A 25,985-nucleotide genomic window follows, 5' to 3' on the forward strand; every position below is an offset into this window, starting at 1 on the left:
TCTGGATTTCCACTTATTCATTGACATCAAATGAAGTATTACTGTGGGATCTTATGTAAGGTCATAAAAAGACAGACGTTTTACTTCCTGGAAAGGTAAATTGTTATTCCCTCAAAGTTAAGGAAGAAAACTTATAAGCAGGGAAACCAAAGGGGGCTGAGTGCTGACCTTGGGAGCAGATGCAGCTCCAGCACTGAAAGAAAACATCATTAAAGGAAAGAGGCTCAAAGGCACGGAGCCCGCAGACAACTCTCTGCGCGCCCTGCCTGTCCAGAACCTGCTGATCCCGGTCAGGATAGCGGAGGAGGGGCCAACAGAGTGCTTCCCGTGGCTTTTGTGCGTTAGCTGCCATCTGGCATTTATCTTAGAGACAGAGTGGTCAATAATTTAAAAAGTGCAAATGACTTCTATCCACTTGTAAGATGTTACAAAGGCAGAGATTTGGTTCAAAGTTGCTGCATTAAAAAATGTCTGTCTTCATGAAGACAAGCGATTTCACATCTCTTAGAAAGAATGACAATGGTTTTCTTATCACTACCATATTACATCAATGTAGAGCCTTTGAGTCCTTAATAATGGAACACTTAGGTATTTTGCCATTATCAAAAGATAAAATTTAGCCTTTCAGAGGGAATTTTGATACCATACTATATTTTATAATGATGTAGAAAGTGATGGATTTTAATTACCAGTTTTATCTTCAGAGTGCTATAACTTATATTTGTAATTGTAGTTTGGAAGTTCCCAATGTCATTATATTTTTTTTGAAAGAGAAATGATGGCATCTTGAATTAAGCCCACAGTTTACTCAATCTAATCTTACTTAAAATGACTCCACGATGCAAATGTACTTCCCCAGTTCAGTCAAATCAGCTCCTCCTTCCCTGTGTCACTGATTTCCCTAACCCCTGCCACTAACATCCACAGACAAAGGCATTTTTACAGACAACTGGAGACTGTATTGTCCTTCCCATCTCTCTTCTTCAGACGGACCTTTGTATTCATCAGAAAATGAAGTCCAAATGAACAAATTTGATCATTTCTTTCTCACTTGATGGGACAAAAGGGAGACTTTCCTGACTTCTAAACAATAAGACTTCTGGCAAAAATCTCTTTTTTTCCCATCTGTGGCCACAGGAGTTGTAGGTGATTCATAAATGCACTGCCCCAAGTGGGTCACAATAAACCAAGCTCATGTAAACCAGATTTGCAAATAAACACTGAGTATTCACCAGCCCATAAAAATGGTCTGGTCAGCTCACACTGCAGAAACCAAACATTGCATTCTGGTGAGTGATAAAATAGAAAAAACTAACACATTTCGGGAATTCTCTGATGCCAGTTGTTCGTGACTATAGATGTGTAGTTATCTGTAAGATTAATTGCCAAGGAATATTTTCAGTAACCATGCTGGTGGTTCTCACAAAAAACATTGGTAAAAGTAAATTTGCTACCTAAACAAAAATATCCAGCTATATTTCAGAAGGAGTAAAGGTCATGTCATATTGACAGAAAATCTTTGTAGATATTAAGACTAAACTGGGCAAAGAGAGCTAAACGCCAACCACACAGTTTGAACTGTGAATAACATTTGTATGTTTGAAATCAACATAGGAAGTCTTGAGATACCAGATTTGTGGGACAAAAATCAGTGAGAAAAAAATTATACTCTCAGCCAACGAGAACGTACGTTATCAACAACAAAAACAATTAGAACAACAAATAAATGAACAAAAAACCCAAAGGCATTCTCAAAGTGTATTGCTTTGCCAGTTAGAAGTTGCAGGCATGTGTTTTGAATTTTCTGTTGTTTTATTTGTAGAAAGATTTGGAAGCAGGATTGTTTTATTGAAATATAACGCCAGATTGAGAAAAGCCCATTTCAAAAGGGAATCATTAGTTGGAAGGAAGGGCTTCGTCCAGTCAGTGTTTGGGTCGCCAGATCTGGAGGGTGAGTAATGGACATCCTGAATGTAACTGGAGAATTCTGGGCAACTCAGCAACTCGGGCAAGGTCACTGGGGTGCAAATGTCAAGGGCCGGTGGGGCAAGGACTCAAGGACTCTTAGAGCTCTGAGTTCCTACATTTCCCAGGAGGCCTGTGATGACCCCAGTGCATACGTGATCCAGATCCTGAAGCATTTGCTCCTGGGTGGGGAAATACTGCAAATGCAAACTTGACAATAAGTTTTCCTTTCTGAATCATGAAAAGCTAATTCAAACCAACCACTACAACAAAGCATTGAAATGTTCTCAATGGTATATCTGGCTGGCCAGGGGCCTGGCTGAGGAAGTCACCTCCGCTCCCAGGACTGCATTTGTCCGGGATCCATGCCTCCCGGGAGGATATTGTGAAGGATTCACATCCGCCCTCCCCTCCAGATCCAGGCAGGAGTGCACAGGGACTGTGGGAAGTGTGTCACTCTGGCAGAGTCGGGGCTCTTGAGTCAGCATCTTACACACAGCAGGACATCAACAAATACTTGACAAATGAGAGAATGGTGTGGCAGTTGAGGATCTCTGCTCTTCAAGGCACAGCCCAAGCTCTACACACACAGAACTACCTGCACTTGCCCTGGTTGGCCCCACTGTCCCTTTGTGCCCTGAGCTGTTGCTGTTCTGTATACTGGAAATATCCATCCTCTTCCACCCCTGGCAAACCACTATTCCACGGCAACCTTGTCTTCAAAGCCTCCTAGTTGGCTGCTTTCCTCCACCCCAACATATCTGGCCCATGACCCTCTTACAGCCCGTTTTACAGACCCCAAGGATTTGAGTACCTTGCTCACTAGTCTAAGCTTCCTGGGAGTGCAGCTGCATCTTATTTATAGAGTTTAGATTTACTAGGAGCTCTGCATCTAGCATAGAACCACATATATTACATGGAATAGATTATAGGCTATGTTGGAGCATAACAGACCCTTGGGGTAGGTAGATCACTATCCTTATTTTACAGATGAGGCATAACAAGGTTGAGCAATTTGCAGAAGGTCCCTTGCTAGTAAGTGGTCTGTTCAATGCCTGTGGCTCCCCTAAAAGGCCCACATCCTTGTCTAAAACCTATGCACATGTTATCTGACATGGCAAAAGGGACTTTGAAGATGTGATTACTTTTAGGATCTTGAGGTGGGGAGATCACCCTGGACAATCTGGGTGAGCCTGATGGAATCAAAAGGGTCCTTATAAGAGGAAGGCAGGAGAGTCAGTGTCAGAGAAAGGGATGTGACTACAGAAGCAGAAGTCGGAGAGGGACAGAGACTTGCAGATGCTGTGCTGTTGGCCTCGAAGATGGAGGAAGGGGCCATGAGCCAAGGAATGCAAGTGGCCTCTAAAAGTTGGGAAAGGCAAGGAAACAGATGCTCCCCAGAGCCTCCCAAAGCAATGCTGCCTTGCCAGTATCTTGATTTCAGGATTTCTGACCTCCAGAACTGTAAAATGAAGCATTTATAAGCCATTAAGTTTGTGCTAATTTGTTACAGTAGCCATGGGAAACTCACACAGCGCCTGTAAACTGGAAACCAGGCGGAAACACCGACAAGGGGAGGAAGGAGCACACTGCACTCCCAAAGGAGGTGGTCAAAGGCCCATTCCAAGAGCTCCCTGGCATCAAGGGCCACAGTGGGTTGCAGCCTTCCCTGCTCTCTGCTCTCCCAAGGAAGTCTGTATAATGATCTGAAGAACTGAGGAGGGGCGGGCAGGACAGACCAAAACCCAGGAAGTCACAAGCCCGAGGTGGCTTCCCAAGCCTGGTCTCTGTGCTGTGGCTTTCAGGAACCCTGAGCCAAAGATAAAGCCTCTTCACCAAAACTTTACATTTGTTACCAACAGTCCTGATGCCATGGATGTTCCATGCTGTGTGCAGTGGCCACACACGACACCACCCACCACCACCCCAGCAAAGGCCTCCTGGTTACCAGGGAGAGAGTGGGTGGGAGAGAGTAGAGCTAAGCCAGGAGCTCCCAGGGAAGCCCCCTCCTTAGGAAGAGGACGTGGCTACCTGGGTGCTCAGACCTCCAGCCTCCCCCTCCATCATGGGGATGATGAGAGCCCAAGCAGGTGACTTCCTATTGCTCTTGCTTTTGAAAAGCTCAGTCTGTGGGTCAGGTTGTCAGTCTGTCTGCCTGTCTGGTTCTCTCTCTGGTCAGGCAGCTACAGAAGGACTAGACTGATGAGATAATAAATACCAGCTTTGGTCACCATGAATCAGAGGCACACAGCCAGCTGAGTCACACAATGGGGGTGGCTCAGACAGCACTGTCGAGTTCCCTCTGACCTCACTCTGGAAACGGGGCCAGCTGTTCGAATACGGCAGGGCATTAAGGAACACATTTCACTCCCAAAGCTCCAAGTGTTGTGTGTGCTCTGGCCACAAAATGCTTTTTGGAAAGGAGCTTCATCACAGCCCTTGTAACTCAAGAAAAGGAGACTGCTGATTCTGGAGAAAGGCTGGGACGGGGACGGCACTAGGGATGCCTGAAGCCATGAAGATTTGGCCTGCAGCAGTAGCCGCAGTCCCAAAGTGACCTCAGTTGGCTAAAAGCTGCCTGAAGTCACTAAACCATGTCAAGCCCAAACACCATTCAATGTGTATAGCGAGTACTGGCTTAGTCCTTGTCATTGCAACAGGGTGTCCCCCACTGCTCCTGCCCCCTGCTTTGCCCAGGGTGCCCCAAGGCCCAGCAGGCGATGATGCCAGGACTGAGGGCTGCTCAGGGTCCAAGGATGAAGTACTAAGGGCCCGGGAACTGCAGGCCTCCCCATCCCACCTGCCCACGCGCATCCCTGAGTGCTGAGGAGCATCAGAACAACTCCTCAGAGGCCGAGCTAAAGAGGCCTGCGCTCGTCCCTCCTTGCTACCAAGCTGCCCTTTCTTTTCCCCCCCAGAAAGCTCCAAGTACAGAGGACATCGCTGGCTGGCAGGGGACATGGGCCTCCCAGCAGGACCCAGCTCCGAGAGACATCCATCTTGTTTTCCATGCCTGGGCGTGGCTTTTACATTCCATTGAAAACCCAGGCTTCGAGGTTTAGTCATCAATTTCTGTTCCACTTTATTTCCCTCATCACTCCTAAAACCAAAGCCTCACAACAAAAGTCTGACAAAGGTCCTATCAGGTTTCCCTCCCGCTAGAGATCCTGCCTGATTCTGCTTGGCTTTCAGCCTGGGCCTGGCCGACCACAAGAGGCCTTGCCAGAGCTGGGGTCTCTGGCCTGGGCTGAGGTCATTTCTGCAGCCAGCAGGAGGAGGGAGTGACAAAGGACTCAACCACATTATCATAAGGGAAAGAGAACTGCAGGACAGGGTGGGGCCTGCACTTGTGGATTTCACGGTTGGACTCCTGGGAGCTGGACACAGGCATTGAATCTCAAATGGTTCTGGGGTGACGGGGCCTTGGAGTCCAGGGCTGCCCAATGAGGCCTTGGATCTCTGACCCCAGAAGGTGGGGCATGGAGGAGAGACACGCAGGGGATGGATTCTTCCCTTTTGCATCTGAGCTTCTGCTTCATTTTGGAGCTTTGGTGGAGCTTTAGAGCAACACCTCCCTCTTCAGGGTGACTGTGCATTGTGGGAGTAACACATGGGCATTGGGTCACAGTAACCCAGGTTCAAATCCTAGCCCGGAGACCTGGGGAAACTGACATTTGGTCTCAGAGTTTGAGCATCATCTTCTGTAAAGCTTCATAGTCCCCACTTCAGGGGCTTGTTGGAGGGTCAGAAGAGACAAAGTGTGCCAAGTGCCCAGCCTGAACTGGTGAAATGGTGAACTGATGGTCTCTTGTTTGACGCAACCACCCCACTTTCCCATTTGAGAGCCACTCACTGCTGCTCTCAGGCCTTCTGATTACAGACACACTCATGCTTCAAGTCTGATCAGGGCCTTCCCCATGGAGCCCTGGGCCCCTCACTTGGTTGGGGTCCTCTTATGAGTACAAAGGGGCATTACTAAAATCTCAGTGGTGGTGGGAAAGTTCTGTCTGTCTGTCCAACTACGTGCTATGCTATCTGAGGGCAGGAGTCATGGTGGATTCATCCCTGCCATCCCTCGGGGCACGCAGTAGGTGCTCCTGCAGCTCCCGTATCTCCCGGGGCACACAGGTGCTCCTGCATCTTCTGTATCCCCCGGGGCGCACAGTAGGTGCTCCTGCAGCTCCTGTTGGACCGCACTGAGCTTCTTAAGGCCAGGCTCCAGGCAGTGTCCATTTCTGTGCACCCCATGCCCAGTGCGGCCTCAGACCCTCCCTGGGAGTCAATCACTCCCGACTGAACACACCGGATGCTGTGTGGACAGCGCCCGCCAGGAGTGGGGGCTAACCAAAACAGAGCACATGCCCCCAGTCCCACAGCCCAGGTCTGCCAGTGCCTCTCCTGATGCCGAGCTTGTGGCGGCCACGTACCTGGTCCCCAGAGCGTGACACACTGCTGCTCGTGAGTCTGGCAGATGCCATTGTAGCAGTAGCCGTCCACATCCTGACATGAGTGCCCATCGTGCAGGTACACGTTGGCTGGGCAGTGAGGGCTGGCCCCTGTGCAGAACTCTGGGAGGTCACAGGAGTTGCTGGAGTCCCTGCACGCTGTTCCTGCAGGCTTCAGCTGGAAGGAGAGGGCCATTTATGACACATGCACCCGGGGAAAGGGAGAGGCAGCTCTCAGCATTACTCCTGGGCTGGAGTGGACAAGGCCATAAGTCCCACATAAGGGGTGAGGATTTCAAAGGAAGTTGCTTCTAATGTAGAGATACCTCATTAAATCATCAGATTCTCGTTCTGGGGTTCACTGTTCCACTCTAAAGTGGGTGGGACAACCAAGAGCAGCCTCTGGTTAATGTCATGCAACATCAGGGTTCTCCAAGAAACACACAAGCTGGCTGCTGGCACTTGGCACCTCAGAGGAAGAAGAAGGAGGGAAGCGTTGGCTGCTGGCCTGGTTGATTCTTAAGAAAAAGGTCTCTGGGTGTCAACACTATGACACATTTCAAGGGGACATTTGCATTTATGGTGTTGGCATGTGTGGGCAAGTTAATAAAAATAACTTTAAGGTCACAATCACGATAGCAATTTTAGTCAGTCGTCAAATCATAGAACTGGAACTCTCTCTTTACTGCTTTATGGGAAGAACAGGAGAAGAACAAGGGAGAGGTAAAGGATGTTAGAAGCCATCTGACCAATGGCTCAGCTTTTTGTGGTTGAAGAAATTAAGGCTCAGAGTAGCCCGTCTGAGGCTACACAGCTAGGGAACCCTGCGAGTCCTGGGCTTAGTTCCCTGCATACTCCTCAAACGCAAAGAGATAAGACCCCTGCCAACTTCTAGAAGATCTGGAAGTCGAAAGCAATTGTTAAAAAGTCATAACCTAAAAGTGAACCACAATCAGGCATTGCCCTGTGGTCCTCCCTCCCCTTACTTGGGCATCCCCTGGGCACAGGCTCAGACTTGCTTCCCCCTTCCCCCGACTCCCTTCCAGGCACCTTCCTTCACCAGTTACTGGGAGCCAGGGAGAGCCAGCTGCTTATAACATTCCCCAGAAGTTAATCAGCATTAGGAAGAGGATGAAGGCTATTTTAAAGCCGAACATTAAATGTTATAATGCACTTCTAAATCACCGTGCTCACGTGGGGCAGCTAAGAGGGAGTTTCCTGCAAGCAGAATGTCAGGATCAATTGCTTAATTAAAATGAAATAAAACTCTACCCTTGGAACTGTTGAATCAAAAGCTCAGGCTTCTACTCTCAGATATCAGCTCTGAATAATGAGACAATGGAACTGCCAAAAGAAACGCAGTCCTAGCCAGCAGCAATGGCGAGAGTATAAAACTGCCATTCTTGGCTGGGCGGGGTTGGTGGCAACTTCTTTTGGGAGGACATTAAGATTGAGTTGTTTATACAAAACTTCTGGGACAAGCCAGCAGGCAGATGTCCGCGGGATCAAGAAGATGAACCTGGGGGAACCTGAGTGACAGTGGATGGGGACTTGTTCTCGCCTTGCTCTTCTTGTCAGCATAGTAGAACCCCATGTGCCTCTGACGGCACAAATGGAGCATTTAAAGTTGAACTAGGGTTTATCGGTCTGATCAGTTGTCAGCCCCTAAATAAATAAACACAAGTGACTGGCAACTGAAGCGTGCATTTCACCCCAAGATTGGAAGCTAAACAGTAAGAGGTGGGTAACACCAACTGGCGTGAGAAGGAGGGATGGTGCGTGCTGTGGTGAGTGCTGGGAAACCTTCCAGCCACACTGCTTGCCCTGCATCAGATCTGAACCACCTGAACCTGTTGGCGACCTGGGGGTCAAGTTGTAGCTCCGGTGACTCACCTGGCAGTCTTCACAGCACAGCCCATGTGCGCACACAGCGTCCGGCTTCAGGGTACAGGTGGTGGCATTGCAGCAGCGATTCATACATTCCTGGAAAGGGGAATGGCATTTGTTTGACAGGGTCTTATGGAGTATGCACTCACTGAATGCAAACATCACACCTTAAATGGCTGCAAAAAGCAAGAAAGACCAAGAGGGCCCAGCTCCTGAACTGCACACCTGCCTGTTTCCGTCTGTTAGGAAAGCAAAGCTTCTGCTTTTTATGAACCAACTGGGTCTACGAGTCCCTGGAAAAAGCCAGTAGCACACAAGTGCCCTCATGAAAGGTAAAGCAGTTGTAACATAGGCTGGCCGGCTGGGGACATCACTCTAGTCAGCAGTACACTGGGGCTCTGTAGAGGGGTGTCCAGGCGGATCTCATTGCAGTGGACTGCATCAGGATCCCTGGAGGACTTTGAAATTACCCAATCAAAAATATACATAGATGCATACAATCTGTACTCTTCAAAAATGAACCTTTTTTGATTTAGAGAGTACTGGCAGGAAATGAAGTCAAACCAGTGGTTTCAACCACAATTCCCTGCAATCTCGCCAGGGTTGTGGATGAGACCCTTGAGCAGCCCGGGTAAGTTGTCTGGCCTGACAATTCCATCACTCGGAAAGTCAGAAATGGACCTTATAACAAGCAAGTGGCCGGCAGGAGGCCTGTGGGCTGTGCCCATTGATTTGCGAGGGATTTAAATGGATAGTTCAAGCATTAGATGTACTGTCCTCTCTGAAACAAAAGTGAGAAAAGAAAGTAACTCCTTTATAATGCTGTGCTCCACACGTACCCATTGCTTCCATTTTTTCCTAACAAAAACAAGAGATTGACATTTTTCGCTCAGTTCTCAACAAAAGGCCTGCACGCATTTATCAAGTGAAGTCCTTGTACTTGAGAACATTCAAGTAACTGCAGTTTACACATTTTAGAAGAAATGTAATTATCATAAGATGGAACAGTTCATAGATCTTTAATACTGAGTAATTTATCAATGTTCTTTTATTTTATCCAGTATATGATATGCTTTGAAAAATTTATATACCATTGGCTGGGGTGAAGCTAATCACATACTAGTTTAATAATATAATACTTTACTCCTGAAAACCATCTTTCTTGAATGGATTTATCATGAGTTTTATAAATGCAATTAATAAAATTTTGTCAATAATCCAGAAGATTTATGGCAAACCCAGATACTGAAACTATATCCTATGTAAAACTCTAATTATGCTCTCATTTGATGTTCCATTTGATTCTATTATACAGACTTCCAAAGTTATTAAATTTTAAATTTGCTTGAGGACTTTATAAACATCCAGAATGCGTAATATATACAATAAGATAAAACTGTCAACCAGAAGTCATAGCTGTAACTTTTATGACAGTAAGGGTTTCTAACTTGTGGACTTACAATTCTAAAAGAGTTTAGGAACTTTTTTTAAAAAAAGTAGTCCATTAATTGCATTTTTAAATCAGTGTCATCAAATGCACACCACTGCTATCCTGGTCCTTATGGTCTAAATGGCTCTATGGATGACACATTTACCAAATTACAAGTTTTCTTGAAATTCCATGTTAAATCAGCCATCCTAAATCTGGGTCCTAAAATTCTTTAAGAAATATCTTCCCCCCTCTCTCAAATCACCCAGTAATATAAGCAGCAGCTCAAATGGAAATGCAGCCATGCCAAATGGCTCTGACTTCAAAGGGGATGATAATGTGAGAAAGATAACTAAGTTTAAAAGATATTCGCAAGCTACTGGCATCCTATTGACTTTAAACAAGGAGATAAGGCTGCTTTCCCAATCCTGTTAGCTGGAAGAATGAGTGAGTTGTCAGGATTTCCTTATGTTGATATAAATCCAATGCCCTGTCCGGGAAGGCTTCAGCAATCAACCTGCCTTCAAACCACCCAGGATCTATTTCTTCTGCAGTACCATATTTCTCAGAAGAGACACATTCTTCATCTGCTGCTACATTGATTATTTTAGTCCTCAATAGAGAAGTCCAACAGAGCCAATGAATACCAAGTCTCCAAAGAAGAAAGAATAATGAAAGCATTAGAGAATTCTCTGCAAAGCCCTAATTGTCATTCTCAGGTTGTAGGTAGCAGACACAGATTCTTAATCACAATGAACTGGGAGAAGACTAGAAGCCATCTTCTTGAAAATGATGGAGATTATTTCTGGGAGCAAGGGAGAAGCTGGTTTCCATTGGGTGCTGGCAGTTGTTTTTCGGATCCCATTTACTACTCCTTCCCTGATGTCGTAACACACTGGGTCCCTCTGTGGGCCAGGGAATGGCCAGGTCAATCTGATGTAAGGGCATGCAGAATAACCAGGGCCTGAGCACTGGGTAGGGGGATAAAGAACCCAGGTTAACAAGTCTTTTTGCCTAAAATTCTTAGGCAAAGCAGTTTGGAAACTGTAAATAGGTTGTCACACTGCCAAACACAATTTGAGTTTGAACCTTGAAACTATTATTTTCTAATAATAACTACTTGAAACTATTTTTTGAAAAGCAAAAAATAAAAAAAAGCAAATCTAAAAAGTGAGGCAAAAGGCTCACCTGTAACTTTCAAAGAAAGAACTTTGGATGAGGGGAATGAGAGCTATCTTCAAATATCAAGAAGTTATCCTACAAAATAAGGACCTTAACCGCAGAAATACAAAGTTGGTAACTGCATGCAAGCAGTTTGGCTCTGTACAAGGAGGGAGTTTGTAATAATCAAAGCTACCCTATAATGCAACATGCCACCTGGCGAGACAGCACCCTGTCAAGCCGCATGACTCCTTCATGGAGAAAAGAGGGAGGATCAGAATATGAGTGGCTGACACATTTTAGGCACTCAAGCATTTGCTGATGTGATGGTGGTGGTGGGGATAATGATAGGGGTGGGGATGGTAGCAGTGATGCTGGTAGCGATGTGGATACTGGTGTGGCCACGGTGGTGGCAGTAGCTGTGGAGATGGCAGTGGTTACAATAGTGGGGTGATGGTGAGGGCTGTAGTGATGACGGTGGCGGCAGTGGCAGTGATATGGTGATGATGGTCATGAGAGAAATGGTGATGATGTTGGGTGGAGGAGGTGGTGGTGGCGATTGTGGAGATGGTGATGTTAGCAATGGTGGTCGTGATTGTAGCAGTGATGTGGCTGCTGCTGGTGGCATATGGAGTAAATGACTGCTAACGAAATCATTCCAAACCCGAGAGTTCATGGCTTCATGAAGAGCTGTCAAATTTATTTAGATGAACAAACAATCATAAGAAGTTCAAAGACAAACCATTTTCAGCCAACATGGCCTCTCCTGAGAAAGGTGAGAAACTTAAACTAATTCATTTTTTCCTTTAAGAAATTAACAAGGCCTACAAGGAATTTCCCCTTTGCATACCCCAACCCATGATGGTTTTAAGTTTTCCTCTGCTAATCTTGAGAAGAGTTTCTGTAACACTATAATTAGGACTTGCTCCTACACAGCAACCATTCCCTGCTCATGGTGAGCAAAATTAGACACCCCTCCAGACAATGTCATTATCATGGTTAAGTTCTGAGTTTGGCAAGGGCATAAAAACATTTGAAGAAACCACTTCTACATCACATCCCCCCTTACTCCCACCCAATACTTACATACTTCCAGCGTTCTTGCAGAAACTGTCAGACCAAGCTCATTCCTCCTGGTATGGAAAACCTCAGAGACTTGAAGATGGGGATATGATGAACATTCTGTTTGCCAGTTGTTTGTGTGATGAACACAGGAATATACCGGATGCGCCAGTCTCAACACGATTTCTCCTCCACCCTAAACTCCCTCTTTCAGAGCAGCCCTTGGAGATGCTCTTCCTAAGCCCTCATTAAGTCCATCTGTGAATTTAGCTAAGCCTGCCTTGAACTTGTCTACTATTTCAGCTTGCATAAACTCTCGGGGAGGGAGTCCCACATGGAGGCTGCCTGCTGTACAACTGCTTGCTTTGATTTATTCTAAACACAACCTCCTCCAGACTTCGAGGGGGCACCTGTTTTACTAGGAGGTCTCATGCTGTCTTCTCTCTTTCCTTCTTGAGATTATTCAGAGATTAAAAAGTGACTTTTATAATTTTTATAGTGATTATCTTGGGCCCTATTAAAACAAGGACATTTCCTGATATTGGCTGGAAAACAGGGTTAAGCCCTGTGCTAGATAAAAACGTTCCCTGCCTTCACTTATTGCTTCTGAAAGCTACAAGCTCGAGAGGCAGAAGCCTCAAGTCATGCATACAGAGGCGTCTGCAGCAGCAAGGCAGAATTTCAACTGCAGAGGAAGCTCCTGGTTAAAAATGAATGCTGCTTATTCAGATTCCCCTCTGGTAGCACACCTTATGAAGAAAAAGAAATGGTGCTTATTAGCTATTTGAAGCTAGAATTCCAGGGCTTTCTTCTCTGTCAAACTCAAAGCTAAACACTTTTTTTTATTGTTTTTGGCCTCATCTTGCTGAGAATGCTGTACCCTTCGATAAGATTATTTATCTTTTTAAATGAAGTGATCACTTATTCCATGCAATAGTTAAAATTCAAGAAAGCCACCCTAGCTCACGGGGCTTGTTCAGGATGGGCAGATAGGACTCTTCCTTCCTGAGTTCTAGTACTTTCATCTGGCTGTACAGTTCCTCCAAGTTCTCTCTTCTTTGCCTAGCCGAGGATACAAGTCTTCTTGTATCCTTGTTCTGGGAATGGTTCTTACCTCTGGCTCCCCACAGTCACACTCCTCTCCTTCTTCCACAAATCTGTTCCCACACTTCTGGCCCCCGAAAGACTCCCTGACTTCCGGCAGGTTAAACAGGCACACCCCCATTCCTTTCTCCAGGCTGGTCTCCAAGTCCTTCCTGCTGCAACTGCTGAACACCATGGGAAATGGGTACCTGAGAAAGGAGAGCCCAGAACAGTAAGTCACAGGGCATGGAATGGCTTTGTCTGCCCTTCTTGTGCCCACAAGAAGGCACCCACTGGCCACATCTGCCCAGGTGTTCACTGGTGGTCTCAATGAACAATGCATATCAAAAAACTCAGATATGCAGTGTCAAGTGAGGCACATTCAGTTCCATCCCGACATCCATTCCGTACAGTGCCAACGCGGCTGATGAAGAAGTGCTTTATCAAAAAAGAAATGATCTTTCGATGGTTTTCAAATCAATAAGTTCAGGCAGAGTCTCATTAAAGACATTATTAATAGTTCTGGGTGAAATGATGCTACGAAAAGTGAATTCGTAGGGACTGTAGCTTGTAATACAAACACATAACAATGTCCTTATTGGAAAGTGCAAAGAAGAAAAGAGTACAAATGACGGTGTTTATTAATTCCATGGTTCCAAGGACACATGGTTCCACTGTAGGGCAGGGCCTGCTGATGCTGGCATTCAGGTCTATAAAGGCCAAGTCCCTATCTTCCCCCAGCACAGTTGTAAGAGAATGGAGGTGATCCAGAAATGCAGGTCTTACCCTTGTCTCTAAATTCCACGGTGTGGCAGGGTCTAAACAACCGGGTGCCTCTAAACAACCGGGTGTGGCAGGGTCAGCCAACTCCCCAGCAAAGTTATGCTCCCCTTCTGTGCTCTAGAAGGGCTGCCCAGCCCCCATGTACCTGGGTGGGCTGTATGACATTCTTGGCACTAGAACATGAACAAAAGTGATATAGGTCACTTTTGGCTGATGGTATTTAAGCGAGTATTCCTTCTTCATATCCTTTCTTTCCCCATCTGCCAGCTGAGATTAGAGTATCCCACGGTTTTAGGAGATGGAGGTGTCAGGCATGGCATCTGGTCCTAACTCACTGTATGGAGGAAGGCCACCTGCAGCCTAGAGCCTCAGAGCATCATACAGAAGGAAAACACGCTTCTAATATGGTAACCCACTGAGCATTTGGGGTTTGATTCCAAAGCAGCCAGTGTTATCCAACATACACAGAGTGTCTCACTTTTTACAAATGCATTTTCCCATGTCTTGAGGCAGCAAGGATTATTAAGGTATAAGCATGCCAGAAACCCAGAAAGTTTTATTACTTAGAGAGGGAGCAGGGGCTGCTGTCCAGCAAACCCAAGCACCCTCTCCCAATGGAGACATTTATAAGGATGACATTAGAACTGGATCTCAATCAATTGGCCAAACCAACGCAAGCTGCTACGCTCCCCTGATGATGGTAGACCAGCGGCCACTTAATGATTGAGCTTGGTGAATTTTGAGATCATGCTGATTTCCAGGACCAAACTGATAACACTGCACCATCCTCTCCGAGTGGTTTCCCTTTTCTTCCCCAAGTATATAAGGCATACTATTAGGCACAGATTTTTAATGACCAGGTATTTATTTTTTCTTAACTTCATTTTCTGAGACCGAGTCTCACTCTGTTGCCCATGCTGGAGTGCAGTGTCTCACTGCAACCTCCGCCTCCCGGATTCAAGTAACTCTCCTGCCTCAGCCTCTCAAGTAGCTGGGATTACAGGCGCCCACCACCATGCCTGGCTAATTTTGTATTTTTAGTAGAGATGGGGTTTCACCATGTTGGCCAGGCTGGCCTCAAACTCCTGAGCTCAGGTGATCTGCCCGCCTCGGCCTCCCAAAGTGCTGGGATTATAGGCATGAGCCTTTAAGCCTGGCCCTTAACTTTTTTTTTTTAACTTTAATTGTAGGTTCAGGGGTACATGGGCAGGTTTGTTATGTAGGTAGACTGCATGTTAGCGAGGTTTGGTGTACAGATTATTTCATCACCCAGGCAATAAGCACAGTTCTCCACAGGGAGTCTTTTGATCCTCTCCTTTCCCAGTGTCTGTTGTTCCCTTCTTTGCATCCATATGTACTCAATGTTAGCTCCCACTTATAAATGAGAACATGCAGTATTTGGTTTTCTGTTCCTGCATTAGTTTTCCCTCCAAGTGGTTTCTATCAACCTCGGGCTATTAACTCTGGAGTATATTAATAATTCTAATTTACAAATAAATTAATAAATGAAAGTGCTCCTCTGTGGATGCAAAGGCAACATACCAGGACTTACTCATAGTGCTGTAACAATCTTGAAATCTTTGTAACTTCCCCTGGCAGACAGACTGGTTATTCCTGGTATCAAAATATACTAACTAGGTTCAAACAATGATTCACAAGAAAAATGATAATGTTTTTGCAATTTAGAAGGGTATTATATTGAAGTAATTGGTATATTACACAGGGACTTAAGAGCAGTTCTTCTCTTTGCAAAAAGAAAGAAAGAAAGAAATAAAAATCAATTTCATGGAGGTACAGATGGAAACTTCTTCTGTATCTGAGAGTTTTCCTAGGACATATATGTCTCCAGGCCTGATCTAGGAGATGAAACATCATTCTCACTCAGTGATACGCAACTTAGTTCTGTGACAAACCATTATCAGTTCATTCTAGAAGGGAAGTGATTTCTAGAAAATATTAGAGTTAATTAGGAAAGACTCTAGGATAAATGTTAAGTCTCAGGAAGGGTTTATAGCCAGAATCACAGCAATTAAGAGAAGCCTGGAAAAGAGTGGTCTGAATTGGCCTGTTTCCCAAAGGAGCAGAGAACGTCCGTAGACCCCAGGGATTGGAGAGCTGAGACCAGCTCCGTTCACTAAGCTCAGACATGCCTTCCCCATCTCATTCCTTTCAAAGCAACAAACACACAAACATTGGGTTTTTTGGGGGTTTCCCATCCAAATAGGATGAAGGAGAACAGTTTAAGTCCAGGATTTAAACTTCAGAATGTGTAGGAGAGGAGAACAGAACAGATCATCATTGGCAAAGATCATCATTGTATTTTTGTGTCTGCATTGGGTGTTGTCAGACTGTATAGTGATCTGTGTAATAATCTATTTCTACTTCCCTTAGCTTTTCCTCATTCTGCTGAAGGACAACTCCCAAGTGTTAACAAAATTCTTTCTCATTTAGAATCATGCATACATAAATGGTCGTCATCCAATTCACGGGTTTTCAACCTTGCTCTGAGGAACAGCATCCTAGCATTAATTCTTCAGGGATGCCTCTGTTTTAAAAGGAAAGTAGCGATGTCCTCCTCAGATGCGAAATGAGGTCTTGATGAATTCACCAACACTGAACAGATCCTTTCTCAGGGCTCCTTTCCACATGGCCTGAGCTCACCAGCATGCCGCCTGCCTTCCAGGTCAGGACAATTCAAACTTCCAGCAACTCCTGACCATGGGTGACAGCTCCAGCCATGAGCAGGTGTGAGTGGCTTCTCTTCCCACCAACCTGGGGTTTTTCTGACTTGCTCAGGCGACCCAGCAAGGTCAATGGGGAGTCCAGCAGCCCTTCCACAAACATTCCTGCCATTTCCTCGGACTGGGTCAGCCAATATCGCTACCATTTCCTCTATGTAATGAAGAAAAAAATGCCTCGTTTATTGTTCAAGAACTTACTTTTGATGACGAATGGTGATGAGGCTGAGAAGTATTTTCTACCTGTAGGATGTCATTACTCATCCCATCCTTTCATGATTTCTCAGCAAGGAGGCAGGTGACTATTCACTCTGATAGGATATTTATGAACCCTATTTGGGCAGTTAGAGGAAGTCAGGCTTTAGAGGAAGAAAATCAGAACAGCCTATCACACATCATTCCATTATTCCCCAAGTATTTATTCAACACCGACTAGGTGCCAGGCATTGTTCTAGGCTTTGGGGATATGGGAATGAAGAGAACAAAAAAATCTCAGCCCTCATGGAGCTTGCATTCAGTGGGGCCAACAGATAATAGGCAAGCTAAGGGAACAGAATGAGTTAGAAAGAGTAGAATTAAGGAGAAAAAAATAAAAGAGCAAGGGAAGAGGGTGTGTATTGAACTTTTAGGGACAGTGGACCTCACCAGGAAACCTCACCAGTAAGAGGGTCATTTGAGCCCCTCACCCGAAGGGAAGAAGGTGTGAGTGCACCTCGGGAAAGAGCTGGTACAAGTGTCTGCAGACAGGACTGGCCTGGAGGAACTTACTCAACAGTGGGAAACAGTCTGCTCTTCCTGCAGACACACACCCAGAGAGGCAACCCATTTTCTACTTGGCATCATTCTTAGATAGGTCAAGGTCATGCTGATGGTGAGAAGATCCCATGGAGTGTCAATACACTGGGAGCTGTGCCTCTGTATGGGCCAGGCACTGGGAATGACTGAAGGTATTTTTATTTATTTTAAATAATTTCAACTTTTATTAGCAATGAAGGGGTACATGTGCAAATTTGTCACATGGATATATTGCATGATGCTGGGGTCTGGGGTCCTGTCACCCAGGTAGTGAGCATAGTACCCAATAGGTGGTTTTTCAGCTCTTGCTCCCCTCCCATCCTCCCCCATCTAATAGTCCCCAGTGTCTGTTGTACTCATCTTTACATCTACGTGTATTCAATGTTTAGTGCCCACTTATAAGTGAGAACACGTGGTATTTGACTTGCTATTCTTGCACTAATTTGCTTAGGATAATGGCCTCCGGCTCCATCCATGTTGCTGCAAAGGACATAATTTCGTTCTTTTGATGGCTGTGTAGTATTCCATACCACGTTTTCTTTATCCAATCCACTGTTGAAGGGCACCTAGGTTGATTCCATGTCTTCGCTATTGTGAATAGCGCTATAATGAAAGTATGAGGGCACGTGTCTTTTTGGTAGAATGAGTTATTTTCTTTTGGATATATACACAGTAGTGGGGTTGCTGGGTCAAATGGGAGTTCTGTTTTAAGTTCTTCGAGAAACTGCCAAACTGCTTTCCACAGTGGCTAGCCTTGCCAGCATCTGTTATTTCTGACTTTTTAATAATCGCCATTCTGACTGGTGTGAGATGGTATCTCACTGTGGTTTTGATTTGCATTTCCCTGATGATTAGTGTTGTTGAACATTTTTTCATATGGTCACTTGTATGTCTCCTTTTGAGAGGTGTCTGTTTATGTCCTTTGCCCATTTTTAAATTGAACTATTTGTTTTTTACTTGTTGATTTAAGTTCCTTGTAGATTCTGGATATTAGACCTTTGTCAGATGCATAGTTTGTGAATATTTTCTCCCATTCTGTAGGCTGTCTGTTGGTAATTTCTTTGGCTGTGCAGAAGCTCTTTAATTAGGTCCCACTTGTCAATTTTTGTTTATGTTGCAATTGCTTTTGGGGACTCAGCCATAAATTATTTGCCAAAGCCAAAATAAAAGGCATCCAAATAGGAAAAGAAGAAGTCAAACTTTCTCTCTTTGCTGACAATATAATTCTATACATAGAAAATGCTAAAAATTCTGCCAAAAGGCTCCTGGAGCTGATAAATGAACTCAGTAAAGTTTCAGGATACAAAATCAATGTACAAAAACCAGTAGCATTTCTCTACACCAATAATGTTCTAGCTGAGAACAAAATCAAGAACACAATCCCATTTGCAATAGTCACACAGAAAAAGGAAATACCTAGGAATCTATCTAGCCAAGGAGAGGAAAGTTCTCTATAAGAGAACTACAAAACACTGCTGAAAGAAATCAGAGATGACCCAAATAAACAAAAAAATATTCCATGCTCATGGATTGGAAGAATCAATATTGTTAACATGTTCATACTACCCAAAGCAATGTACAGATTACAATGTAAATAACAATGTAATTTTTCACAGAATTAGAAAAAACTATCCTAAAATTCATATGGAACCAAAAAGGAGCCTGAATAACCAAAGCTATCTTAGGCAAAAAGAACAAAGCCAGAGGTATCATATTATCTGACTTTAAACTATATTATAAGGCTACAGTAACCAAAACAGCATGGTAGTGGTACAAAAACAGACACATAGACCAATGGAACAGAATAGAGACCCCAGAAATAAACCCCGACACCTATAACCATCTAATCTTTGACAAAAATTGACAAAAATAAACAATGGTGAAAGGACTCCCTATTCAATAATAAATGCTGCTGGGATAACTGGCTAACCATATGCAGAAGATTGAAACTGAACCCCTACCTCTCACCATTTACAAAAATTAACTCAAGATGGATTAAAGATTTAAAGGTGTTTTTCATAAGAACTCCAAACCCTTATTCCCCCACCTTTTTATTTTTTTAAAGCAAACTGCTTTTTAAGCAGGCAAAGGTCTGCTCCTCATCTCCCTTTTGCTGCTCTAAGATAGTCTCATTTGATCAAGACACAGAACTAAGTATGGAAAACTTACAGCAAACCCAATGACTGCCCCCCAATACAAAAAATTTAATAAATGAAAATTACTTCAAATCTTAAGAGATAAGGGAAATTTGCCAGTAGCGAATATTAGATTCCTCTAATGGTAACACCATCTTAATCCACACATATTAGAATATTTTCTACATCCTAAGTAGCCACTGGTTACCTAGTGCCTAGAGCAAAGCAGGTGCCAATGCTCAGCAAGGCCAGGTGCATCACCTGCTCCCCAGGTGCTGACTCTGCCTACATACCTCTGATGATGGCAGAATACAACTTTGAGTGGCAAATTCACAACTCTCTCATTTATTCACTCACTTATGGAGCAATAGTTTTCAAGTGTCTATTATACTCAAAGCACTGAAGAGGATCCCAATTCCAATATGACCTGAACCTGGTCCCATGCCCCCCTTGCCAAGCTCCTTCCTTAAGGGATGTGCCCACCCTCCTATCTCATTTCCTCTCCAGCCGTTCTCCAAGGCCCATATAATTCCACTCCTCCAGAAACGGTCTTTGAAGTCCCAAACCCCCAGAAACATATCTTTTATGCCACATAAATGGAGTCTGAGTGGAACTGTGCAGTCCAAGGCTGTGTTGTAAGTTCTCGCTGCCTTCATGTGTCACCATATTCTGGCCACAACATTATAAATTCCCAAGACTAGTAATTGAGTTAAAATATATAATTTTTTTGGCATAACTATTTATGGAGTACCTGCTTTTAGCTAGGTGATATGGTGGTGCTTTCTCATGGTAATATTTTTCTTCTTTTATACTTTTTTTTGAATTTAAAATTTTGGAACAATCCAATGAAACAGTTATTATTGCTCCATTTGCAAATGAGGTGAAGGGATTTGACAGTTCACAGTTAGGGGATGGCAGTACTAGATTTCACCAATTCTTATGATTCCACGTTCAGGTACTAAAAACCATTTTCTTTATTACCAGTGCCAGTTCAGCACTGGATGACCAGCAGTGAATGCTGAAACACAGAAGGTGATTGATTAATCCTCAATGTACCGATTTAAACACAGGAGACAAATCCTGCTGTGATCCCACATATGCCTGGACCAGTGGTTCTCAAAGTGTGCTCCCAGGACAAGCAGCACCAGGAACTTTCTAGAAATGCACATTCTCAAGCCCCACTCAGACCTACTAAGTCAGAAAACTCAAGGTAGGGGCCTAGCAACCTGTATTTTAATAAGCTCTGCAGACGATTTGCTAAATTGATGTTGAATTTACACAACATAAAATTCATCCTTTAAGTCACTTCGAAATATGTAATCCAATGTTTTTTTCCAGCACATTCACAATGTTGTGTAGCCATCACTACTAACTGCAGAACTTCCCCCCACCCCTCAAACAAACCCCACATCCATGAAGCCATCACTCCTCATTCTCCATTCCCCACCCAGCCCCTGCCAACCACGAATCTGCTTTCTGTCTCTACAGATCGCCTGTTCTGTTCATTTCATGTACACGGAATCCTACACCATGTGGCCTTTTGTGTTTGGCTCCTTTCCCTTAGAATAGTGTTCTCGAGGTTCAGCCACATGGTAGCATGCATCGGAACCTCATTCCTTCTTATGGCTGGATGATATTCCATTGCAAGTGAGACCATACCACAATTTGCTATCTGCTCATCTGTTAATGATCCAGGTGATTTTGATGCCCATTAGAGACTGGAAACAACTTCCCTAGATTTAAAATTCAAATGCTGTTGTACCTATTTGTGTCGTGACAATAAAAAATGCAATCTAGACTCACCATGGGCCACTTGTCATATCCTAAAAAATAATTCTGTTTTGCTCTCTTGTCCCATCTTCTAAGAAAAGCCCAATGTATGGCATTTTGAAAACCTGACCTGATTTTGTGATCACATGAAAGATGTGCCAATGGACAACAGGCAAGGCAAGGAATCATAGGCAGGATCTGTCAGTGCGATCGTTGATAAGACTGCTATGGCTCACTTAGCCATGCCAGAGAGAGGATGCTGGCAAGATGCTACTGATCTGATTTTAGGCATGTGCTAAAAATCCCAAGAGTATCTGTCTTATAAACAAACTTCATATCAGAAATGAATTTTCAAGTACCTGGAAGTGTTATGTGAAATTGACTAATCCTCATACTGCACAGTAATTAAAGTGTAGGAAAAGTTCTGGTTGTGAACAGAGTGATGTTTCCCTTCCACCTGCTTCCAAATCCAAAGTATGGTACATGGTCATTGTGCCTCCTTTGTGCTTGTATTTTTCTTATTTAACAGCTTTATTCCCCGGAGCATCCATGAAAAGAACATTGACTTGGGCCAGGTAGTTGCTCATGACATCAAAGATCTCATACAGCCCCTCGTCTGTGGTTAAAAAGACAAGCCTCAGTTTCTTCCGTAGCTTTTGGCAAGCTCATCACAATGTACTTTTTAACATGTCTAATAAATTATCCCACATGTGCCAGGACAGCAGCTAACTGAAGTGACCTATAGCAGTGAGAGACTGGTGCAAAGCAATAAAACTGGAGAATTACTCAGGAAAGAAGCCCTTTAGCACGATCCTTTCCCTTGGCGTGAGAATGCTTTAAAATGGTGATACCTGCGGCCCAGGAAAAAAAAGTGCTGCTTTCAGCTCAGAGGCAGAGAATTTATCTCCAAAGCCGTGGCAGGGTGACTGTGGCCCCCGCTACGATGTGACCTCTTTTGTTAGCCTTGCTTTCCTTTTTCTCTAATATTTAACTACCAGGGACACTTGAGGCAAGTTTACCATGTTGAATGCAAGGTTAAAAATAAAAAGAGGATGAAACAGACAGCTGGGTGATTTTGGGGAAAAAAACACCACTTTTAAAAAGAGGAATGCCACTTACAGCTCCCCACCATAAAGGCAGTCACAGCTTCATATTTTAGCCATCACAAAGCTGCCAAGTAAAATATTATTAGGGCTTACTTTTACTTTGAAAAATCTGCAGTCAGAAGGTTCTTTTCTTGTAGGAGCCTATTGTGCGTCTCACTGCTATATTCTTGGGGGTGAATCACACTAGGCCAATTTATCAACCTCGACAGTAGAAGTCGGGAGTTATCTGACTTGCAAAAGCTCTCTGGGTATGATTCGGAGACAACTGCTTTTCTTGCTGGAAATTAGGCGTCTGGAGAAACCAGCTATAATCAGGCTGGATTCAAGGGGGCTGCAGGTCAGGGTCCTGCTGCTTCCTGTGACTCTGCGGCCTCATTAATAAACACGCACTGAGTCTAGGTTCCCCACCTCCAAGCTCAGGGGCTCACATCTGTCTGAGTGCTGACGGCAGGAAAGGAGTGGAAGTGACCGAGGAAGAAGGATGGAACAGCCAGGCAGCGGCTGAGAACAGCTTGGAGCCGACATAACTGTGTGATAGGAAAAGCCAAAGTTGCAGGGAACCGGGGATGGGAATCCATCCAGATTTTTCAGTTTAAACTGATTGGGGGAAAAAAACAAAACAAAACAAAAAACAACCTCATATCGTCCACAGCTGACAAATGATTAGATGGTAAAGGGCTAACTGGTTTTGGAAAATATGTTGCTGACATTCTGCTTCCCACTGGTTTCTTTTTGCAGACCAAAATGGAGTTTTGTTTTTCTCCTGACAGCAGATGCCACAGATTGGGCAGACCCAGGAGGCTCTTCTTTACCTGGGCGTGTGGTGAGAACTCAAGTCCGAAGCCTATGTCTGAGCAGCCTATCTGTACTTCATTGAGCCTCTGTTTTCACATCTATAAAATAGGGATAACAACTACCTCATTGCACTGAAGTGGAGGCTAAACGAGCTTCAAACAAAAAGATCAAAGTCTGGTTAACTTCCAAGCACTGTGAAATGCTAGCTCCTAGTACTGACAGGCAAAAGATGTGTCTTTCTTTCTCCCATTGGGAGTTGCCCTGACTGCGAATCCCCCCGTATATGATAGTGCTCAAGAACATTTCCAATATGGTATAGAATGTAGTACTTGTAGCCAAAATAGAGCACGCTTTACACTGTAAAACCACAAATACAAGTAAATTTGAGAGCAAGATGATTCAGGAGGCGAAGGGATGAGCAAACAGTTAAAGATCATTCCCTCCGTTTAATACATAGATGGTGTCAAAGAAGCAAAACAGCCTGTTCCATTCTGGAAGGGCCAGTTTTTCTTTAGCTCAACAAGAGCATGTAGTTAGGAGCACAACCAACCAATGAAGCAATCCACAAACAAAACAAAAACGCCATTTAGATGGCTGTTACCTGCTACGCAGCTGTGGTTGTCTTCTGTTCCTGAAAGCTTTTTTCTGGCCCTTTTCATAAAGCTCATGTCACATGAGCTCACCCCACATCTTCCGTCCATTTCCTGGCCACAGCCAAGTCCAGGCACTGAGCTCAGAGTGAGACGTGGCCACAAATTGTGGGATCCATTCTCTGGAGAAGACAATCTAATGACTGTTTTTTTTTTTTTTTTTTTTTTTTATGTGGAGTTTCGCTCTGTAGCCCAGGTTGGAGTTCAGTGGTGCGATCTCGGCTCACCGTAACTTCCGCCTCCCGGGTTCAAGCGATTCTCCTGCCTCAGCTTCCTGAGTAGCTGGGATTACAGGTGCACACCACCATGCCTGGCTAATTTTTTTGTATTTTTATTAGAGATGGGGTTTTGCCATGTTGGCCAGGCTGGTCTCAAACTCCTGACCTCGGGTGATCCACCCACCTCGGCCTCCCAAAGTGCTGGGATTACAGGCGTGAGCCACCATGCCGGCCACAACTTTTATCATTCATTCCATAACTAGCTTGCTGAGCTTTTCCAAAAACAACTTAGCCATTCTTAGTTCACAGCCAGTTCTACATATTCCTAGTCCCTTGAGAAGCATAAGCCCAACATGAATTCCCTCTTCTCTTCCCAAGTGAGAGCGAGGTCCTCTTACAGTATGAGGGGGCAGGGGACCACAGTGTGGGGAATGGACATTGCTTGGACAAGCTGCTGACCAAAAATTCTAGGGCCATCTTCAGGAAAATCTTCAGGTCTTTCCCCAGTTATGCCCAACAATAAAAACTTTCAATCACCACACACAGAATTTATGTGCAACCAAGTAGCACGCCTGGTAGGCCAGGGCGGTGGCATTTGTACTCGCAGGTGACCGGCCTCATGTTCAGTGCCGTGGCAGGCCTGCTGTGGATGCAAGGAGGTCATCTCATTTTAGGGGCTTTTTACTCCATGCTGCCTGGAGCGGGGCTGGCCAGGAGCCACCATTTGTTTAGTGAAACCCTGCTGGGGACCAGAAGCCTGGCAGACATTCTCTCACTGACACCTCTGGGAGCCAATTATGACTCCTATTTTAGAGATGAGGAAGCTGAGTGCAGGCAGCTTGGGTTCCTTGCCGGGACCCTGCAGTTCCTGCGTGGAGACTGAAAGCACAGATCTGACTAGAAGGCCTGTGTTCTTCCCACTCAACCACACCGTCTCGAGGGCTATCAGGAGCTGCCCCAGGGCAGGGCCTCTGGGCAGCCTCAGGCATGACCCAGCACAAATGGCTATGCCAGCAGCAGTAGTATCCATGGGTTGGGAGAGGCAGCTGCTCCGATGCCTCGGGACTCCCTGGAGCCAGACGTAAACAGAAGGAACACCCAAGGTTCTACACTTCCTTCCAGGTGTACCTTAGAGGACTTCCCTAAAGGTCTTTGGTGTAACAGAAGACAAAGGCCCAGTCTTGGGATTCATCCAGCTAGCCTGAGGTGATACCTGGGCCAGATCGTGCACACCTGAGGAGGGCTGCAAGCCTGTTGAGACCCTAATGAGCTGCAGGCAGGGGAAATAGGCGCCCCGCCTCAAAAGCCTCGTGACTCCTCCTCATGGTGTGATGGGAGAGGGAGCTGGGCCTGAGTCAGCCCACTCTGCCTGCCCAGCGGTGCACAGGGACACAGCTCTGACCACACAGGCTCAAACGATAGAACAGAACCGAGGCTGAAGCTAATGGGGCAATCCATCCTCACGTCCACTCCAGAAACAGAAAGTGACTGCCTTATAACTGGACGCTGAGCCAGTGGGCCAACCAGACGGACCACAGAAAGCTAAGAAAACCACCAGGCCAGGAGCAAATGACCAGAAAGATCCTTAGTAGGCCATTTCCATTGTTAATAGCAAACACCTGGGCCCCAGAATGCAGCCATCTGCAGCACATTATAATTCATGGTCTTAACTTGTGAACTTTGACCTCTGCTCCTCCTCCCTGAAACCAATTTAAGTGCAAATATAATTTCCCAGAATTTTTAATAAAGTCACCAACTGAGCTCTGGTCAGTTGAGACATGTACAGGAAGCTTCTGGACGTTACCAGAAAGTGGACTTTTCACTTCTGAGCTACGATGGCTATTTCTTCCTGCACCAAGTCCTGAAAGACCAAGAACCCAGGGGCGGGGGACACAGTGTCCATATTAAAAGGACCTCAGCCCATCAGAGGCCATGTATCAGACGAGCTACTCAGCTTCATTGC

At 45.0% G+C, this 25,985-nt stretch overlaps 1 protein-coding gene across 7 annotated transcripts in view, besides 1 other annotated feature; it reads right to left on the reverse strand.

The window, feature by feature from the left end:
• ADAM12 (ADAM metallopeptidase domain 12) overlaps positions 1 to 25,985 on the reverse strand; it is a 376,087-nt gene that overhangs the window by 46,023 nt on the left and 304,079 nt on the right. For 5 of the 7 annotated variants that reach the window (NM_001288973.2, NM_003474.6, NM_001288975.2 and 2 more), the window contains exons 12-14: positions 13,064 to 13,241; positions 8,304 to 8,393; positions 6,393 to 6,588 (exon numbers count right to left, since the gene is read on the reverse strand). In NM_001288973.2, the coding sequence (NP_001275902.1) occupies positions 6,393 to 6,588; positions 8,304 to 8,393; positions 13,064 to 13,241 (464 nt within the window). Of the gene's footprint in view, positions 1 to 6,392; positions 6,589 to 8,303; positions 8,394 to 11,973; positions 12,975 to 13,063; positions 13,242 to 13,818; positions 17,511 to 25,985 lie in introns of those variants that run through there. The other 2 variants (XM_017016706.2, XM_024448210.1) reach the window with 2 other exon arrangements.
• Positions 16,232 to 17,431: an enhancer, noted in NCBI's record as "CDK7 strongly-dependent group 2 enhancer chr10:127763214-127764413 (GRCh37/hg19 assembly coordinates)". NCBI's record gives its function as "activates an origin of replication core promoter dependent on BRD2, BRD4, P300/CBP, MED14 and CDK7 cofactors, with strong dependence on CDK7, by STARR-seq in HCT116 cells {active_cell/tissue: HCT116}" and the evidence as "EXISTENCE:reporter gene assay evidence [ECO:0000049][PMID:35650434]".

The sequence above is a fragment of the Homo sapiens genome, chromosome 10, assembly GCF_000001405.40.
Source record: "Homo sapiens chromosome 10, GRCh38.p14 Primary Assembly".
NCBI lineage: Eukaryota > Metazoa > Chordata > Mammalia > Primates > Hominidae > Homo > Homo sapiens.